Source organism: Homo sapiens, chromosome 8 (assembly GCF_000001405.40).
Source record: "Homo sapiens chromosome 8, GRCh38.p14 Primary Assembly".
In the NCBI taxonomy this organism is placed as follows: Eukaryota; Metazoa; Chordata; class Mammalia; order Primates; family Hominidae; genus Homo; species Homo sapiens.
Window position 1 is genome coordinate 87,870,747 of NC_000008.11, and position 6,871 is coordinate 87,877,617.

The 6,871-nt window shown below is 39.9% G+C and overlaps 1 protein-coding gene across 1 annotated transcript; it reads right to left on the minus strand.

Annotated features, from left to right (window-relative positions):
* DCAF4L2 (DDB1 and CUL4 associated factor 4 like 2) lies at positions 1–3,269 on the minus strand. The gene has a single exon (NM_152418.4). The coding sequence runs from the start codon at positions 3,223–3,225 to the stop codon at positions 2,038–2,040; it is 1,188 nt and encodes a 395-aa protein (NP_689631.1). The 5' UTR covers positions 3,226–3,269; the 3' UTR covers positions 1–2,037.
* Between the last annotated feature and the right edge of the window lie 3,602 nt (positions 3,270–6,871).

Here is a 6,871-nt window from a genome sequence, read left to right on the forward strand (position 1 = left end):
TTTATTTGCACTTATTTTATTTGCAAGTGAGGGTAAACAGATTCGCAAGTTACGTAGTCATTACATTTTCTTTTGTCAACTGCCCATAGCTGCTTTTGGACTTTTTTAAAAAAAATTACATCCGCAGCTAGTTCTTATTGAATGCTTACAATGTAAAAGGGACAATGTATACATCCTTTAAACCAATATCTACTTTATGATTTAGTTTTATTATCTAAGACATTTTACAAAGAAATAACAAGTACAGCTTACACAGTTTCCCCTGTCACACATCAAGTATCAAAAACTAATTTAACTGATTTCAAAAATCTATGCACCTAACCACTCTTTTGTATCTTCTCTATTGACCTATTCCTCTATCAATATGTAATATTACATTAACCTCATTTATGTCCTGACATCACCTCTAATCTACAGAATGGACATTTTAATAGTTGCCTAAAACTCAGCATTATTCTCTTCACCTAAAATTTTTTCACCTCAAATCCTCCCCATTTTAGTAAATGACACCAACCATCCACCAGTCCTAAAGTTAACAAAAAAGCTGCAATCTTTATGCTGTCTTTCACTTTCTAGATTACTCTCATCAGCAAATCTTACTAATACTACCTTCGAATGATCTTCCAATGCAATCATTTCTGATTTTTCTGATTATTTCTACTTCTCATAGTCAGGTCCAAGCCACAATCATTCCCTTTCCTGACCAACCTACAACAGTGTACTGTTTTCATATTTTTATTTTTGAGGTATTATATAAAGTGTGAAGTGTATAGACATACAAAATATGTATGTATCAAGGATCAAGAAAAAGAAAACAGCATTTCTAAAGTTTCCCCGTGTTACTTTCCAAACAATATCCTAAAAATAAAAGGGAAAAAAACAAACAATATCCTTTCTTCCTTCCACAGAGATACCTACTATTCAAACTGTAATCACCATAGATAAGTTTTTAGTGCTTTGGAACTTTAGAACTGAATCAGTTTGTACTCATTTCTACCTACATTTACAATCAACATGTTGAGATTAATCCACAGTTTCATATAGCAATTGTGCCTTATTTTATATTATGCTTTATCCAATTGTATGACTACAGCACAAATTATTTATCAATTTTAGCATATTGTAAAGTGAGATCATTTCCAGGCTTTGGCTATTAAGAAGTAGCCACTAACTTTATTACACGTTTTTTTGTTTTTTGTTTTTTTTGTCTTTTCTAGCTTATTGTTGGTAGAAAAACAGGCTAACACTTTGAATAAACATCTCACAAACTGCTGCTCCTAGATTACAAAAAGTCAAAGCCAATTATCTTTGACACTGAGCCCTTGAATCCTGACATTCAAGTCACAATAATAGAAACCGGAGCTGCTGTACCTTACATTCTGGAAGATGCCTCAACAAAAGCACGTTAAGGACTGTTTAAAACTTCTATTATTTAAAAAGATCCACCTTTCCTCCCATTGCCTATGGAAAATAATAAAAGGAGAATCTCAGAGATCTGCTATTGAGTTTGAGAAGGCCAAGTTTAATGATTCCAAAATGTAGCCTTAAAAACTTCTGGAGAGACTCAGATAAATGACCTCCCCCTCCTCTCCTCTCCCACTGGCCTCTTCAAGTACAGATGATGCATGTATTTCCGGAACCCAGGTAGGACTAGTCAAACAGTCTCATGCTTCTCTAAAAGGCTTCTGGTGTAAGCAGTTTTAATTTATTTTAGTTTTTGCCAATCTTCAGTCCTTAGAAAAGTGTTTTTTTGTTAAAAAAAAAAAAAAAGGGGGGGATAACTATTCTAAGGTATTCAACAAGAAAAGGAAATAGTTATCTTTTATGAAAAGGACTTTCAAGCTCTCTCAGCCCAGTTTAACTGAAACAACTTTACAGAACTATCTTCACATAAAACAGCACCTTACCCCTAGCAGCCGGATGGATGGGATCTACAAACACCGAACATCTCTTAAAATGCGCTCATAGAAACGGTAATACGATGCTCTTTACTTCTTTAAGTCAAATCCACGTTCCTCCGGGCTGCATCCTGAAGAATTAACCGTAGGAGAAACAATAAAGGTCCTCCCGGACAGCCATGAGCAGCCCTGGTGCTCCTCGGAAGCCCCCGAGGCGAGAAGAGAAGGCCACACTGGGAATGTCGTTCTCCGAGGCGGGGTATGGGGAGGGTATGGTTGTGAGCAGGTGGCCATGACGGAGGCTCCAGATTCTCGTGTAGCAGTCCTGGCCCACGGCCGCCACGACTCCTTCTTCTTCGTTCACATGCACGGGTAGGTAGGCGGAGTTATTCACATGACCTTCGTACTGTGTTACACATTTAGTGGCCCTCAAGTCCCACAGCTTGATAGTTCCAGTCATGTCTGATGACACCAGGAATTGGCCATCTTGGAGGATTTGCAGAGAAGTCACTGCTGAATCATGGGACAGGCAAATGGCCTTCCACCCGCTGCCTTGATTTCCACAGCGCAGATCAATGCCAAAGATCTCCCCAGAGCGACAGCCATTAAACAGCAAAGGAGTCATGATTGCAAACTGCTGGGCCAAGACATCACTGCTAGTCCCAAATGACTGCTGGTGTCCCGTCACCACGTTGGTCAACAGGACCTGCTGAGACAAGCCTGTACTGAAAGAGTGATACGCGTGGATGCTCAGGGACCAGGCACAGGACCAGGCATCAGGGATCTGGAAACTGCAAAGCATGCCAGGCCGACGCATTCCTGGGAAGCTACCTATGAACAGCGACGCTGGGAGCAGCACGGCACAGCTTGGAGTATCTGCAAGTCCCACGAAGCACAGCAGAAGGTGGGAATCCAAGTGATTCAGTGAGGCCCAGCACATAGAATTCACCTTCCGATTAGGGACGTAGAGGGTTTTGTGCGGGTATACCCGGAGCTCAGGGGTCGTCAGGCCTCGCATGGTGATGATGCCGTACTTGGAGCCTCCAGCTTCGACTTGGTTCACTGTGAAGAGCTGGTCAGTGTTGGTATTCGCCAGTATGCGGTTAAATCGGTCGCTTGCCAAAGAGGAGGGATCCCAGCTATGAATCTGGACCTTTTTCCTCTGCATGCAGCTTACACGCAGCTCGCGAGCTATACGGCAATAGTTGGCGAATCTGAGGAAACCTAGCTGGTTCTTTCGTAGCATGGAAGGTGCATTGAGTCCCACTCTGACTGTCTTTTTCTGCTTGTCTGCTTCCTCGAGCAGTCGCGGTCTTTTGCTCTCCATTTCGTTCGGCGGATGTTCTCCCTCCTGAGGGGAAGTTCTGTCCCGGGAGTAAGAGGAAGTACCGCTTCTTTACAAGCACGACTTGGCACGGAAGAACTTCCCGCTGCGCCTGCGCCTGTGCGTATGAGGTCGACCCGGACGAGATTCTTCGTCGCCTTGGCCCAAATCCCGAATGCTCTGAGGTGCCCTGACATAACTCTCGTTAGAATCGCGTGATCTGAAACAAGAGTTCCGCTGCTTCTCTCGAGTTTTCCCCTACTCAGACAGCTGCTTTTATTCATTTCTATTCCTGTTTAGAGATTCTTTTCCGACCCCTCTTACACACGTCATAATAGCTGTATGCATACATTTCTCTTATTTACTAAGAAGTGAAATTGGCCCAGCACTTTGGGAGGCCGAGGTGGGCGTATTACGAGGTCAGGAGTTCGAGACCAGCCTGGCCAATATGGTGAAACCCTGTCTCTACTAAAAATACAAAAATGAGCCGGGCATGGTGGCGCGCGCCTGTAGTCCCAGCTACTCGGGAGGCTAAAGCAGAAGAATCGCTTGAACGCAGGAGGCGAAGGTTGCAGTGAGCCGAGATAGCCCCACTGCACTTCAGCCTGGGCGACAAAGGGAGACACCGTCTCAAAAAAAAAAAATTTGAAAGTGGAGGGTTATTAGGTAGACATATATAGCTTAAGTAGATATTGACAAACCAATTACACTCTTGTCAAAATATGGCTTAAGTAGATATTGACAAACCAATTACACTCTTGTCAAAAGTGTATATATATCCTTGCCAATTCTTGTTGGTCAGTTTACATTTTAGATATAAATAATTTATAATTGTTTTTGTCTTCCTGTTGAAAGATTGCCATTATTATTATAAAATATTCCTTTTTAACTTTTATTTATTGATTGACTTTATTTTATTTTTGTGAGATGGAGTCGCGCTCTGTCGCCCAGGCTGGACTGCAGTGGCGTGATCTCGATTCACTGCAAGCTCCGCCTCCCGGGTTCACGCCATTCTCCTGCCTCAGCCTCCTGAGTAGCTGAGACTACAGGCGCCTGCCACCATGCCTGGCTAATTTTTTGTATTTTTAGTAGGGATGGAGTTTCACCATGTTAGCCAGGATGGTCTTGATATCCTGACCTTGTGATCCACCTGCCTTGGCCTCCCAAAGTGCTGGGATTACAGGCATGAGCCACTGCGCCCGACCAACTTTTATTTATTTTATTTTATTTTATTTTATTTTATTTTACTTTATTTTATTTTTTGAGACGGAGTCTCGCTCGTCACCCAGGCTGGAGTGCAATGGCTCTATCTCAGCTCGCTGCAAGCTCCACCTCCCGGGTTCAGGCCATTCTCCTGCCTCAGCCTCCCAAGTAGCTGGGACTACAGGCTCCGCCACCATGCCCGGCTAATTTTTTTGTATTTTTGGTAGAGATGGGGTTTCACCATCTTAGCCAGAATGGTCTCGATCTCCTGATCTGGTGATACACCCGCCTCAGCCTCCCAAAGTGCTGGGATTACAGGCTTGAGCCACCGCGCCTGGCCCAACTTTAATTTTTTTAAATCTGTGTTCTCTGATATTAAAGTATCCTTATCCTTAAACCCTTCTTGTCTAATATTTATATATGCAACCAAGATTTCTGGTTGATAGTGTTTGCTGTACCTTTTCTCACCTTTTACTTTCAACTTAAATTTGTTCTATTATGTAAATGGGTTCATATAAACAATACATTGCTGGTAAGTTTTTATCCAGTATAATAATTTTTACCTTTGAATGTGAGTGTCTAGGCAATTTAATGTTTTAACTAACCCCTTTAAAAATTCTTGAACAGTCTTAGATTTACAGGGAAATTACAAAGATAGTATAGAGCCTTCCCACATACTCTGCACCCAGTTTCCATATTATTAACATTTTACGCTAGAATGATAAATACATTGCACTAATAAACCAATATTGATACTTTATTAACTGAAGTCCATATTTTATTCATATTTCCTTAGTTTTTATCCAGTGGCCTGTTCCTGTTCAAGGATCCCATCCATGATATAATATTAATTATGTTCCCTTGTGCTTCTCTTGGCCATGACCTTTTCTTAGATTTTCCTTACTTTTTATATACATGACAGCATTGAGGCATATTGGTCACATATCTTATAGATGTCTCTCAATAGAGAGTTGTCTGATGTTTTTCCCATATTAACACTGGGATTTTATGTTTTTGGAAGAAGACAACAGAGGAAAATGCCATCCCATTAAGGGTGCAGACTATGGACATGACTTATTGTCATTGATGTTAACTTTGGTCACCTGAATAAGGTAGTGTTTCTTGGGTTTCTCCACTGTATGCTGTAAACATCTCCCTCTCTTTTCATACTGTACCCTTTGAAAGGAAGTAGCTTTGCATATCTATCACTTTAGGAGTAGGGATTTATGCTTTAGTTTCTTGAGGGCAGAACATGCACATCAATTATTAGGAATTATTCTATAAGGGAGATTTTTCTAGGTGTGTCTTTATTAATCTATCCATTTATTTATATAGTATGGCCTCTTGAATATTTATTTTATACTTCATTTATTTATTTGCTAAAATTGTTCCAGCTTTGGCTATTGAGAGCTCTTATGGCTCCTGTGATTGACTGCCTATAGTTAACTGCATGGTTAGCTGTACTCTAAAAGCTTGAGACCACTTGACACCAGAGCCCTTATCTTAGACTTAAATATGTGATTAAAAATTATAATCATTTTCTTACAGCTTTGATTTTGATGTACTGTATATTGCATCATTCCAAAAAAATAGACTTTGGATGTGGAAATATTTGAAGAAGAAATTGAGATTTTTTTTTAATGATAACAATTTGTATTAATAATATCTGAGAACTACCATATATTCTTAGGATTTGTAGAATCCCCAGGTAGGGTATCAAGAAGTAGAAGTAAAAGCCTTAACCATTAAATATATTTTTTTCTTGTAAATTTTTTATTTTTTTATTTCAATAGTTTTGGGGGAACAGGTGGTGTTTGGTTACATGAATAAGTTCTTTAGCGGTGATTTCTGGAATTTTGGTGCACCCATCATCTGAGCAGTGTACACTGTCCCCAGTGTATAGTCTTTTGTCCCTCGCCACCTTTGATTTTGATTTACTATATATTTTGTCATTCCAAAAAATAGATTTTGGATGTGGAAATATTTGAAGAAGAAATGGAGATTTCTAAAAACCAAACAGACACACCCACATAACTTTTGGAATGGCAAAAAAAAAAAAATGGTGATAATATGGAGTAACGCAAACTCTCATTGCTGGTAAGGATATAAAATGGTACAGCCACCTTGGAAAACAGTTTGGCAGTTTCTTAGAAAACTAAACATATTCTCACCATATGATCCAGCAATCATGCTCCTTCATATTTACCCAAAGGAATTGAAAATTTGTATTCACACAAAAACATCCACACGGATGTTTACAGCAACTTTATTCATAATTGCCAAAACTTAGAAGCAAACAAGATGTCCTTCAGTAGATGGAAGGATAAATAACAGTAGTACATCCAGGCAATGGAATATTATTCAGCACTAAAAATAAATGAGTTATGAAACCATGAAAAGACATGGAGAAAAGTTAAATGAATATTACCAAGTGAAAGAAGCCAAT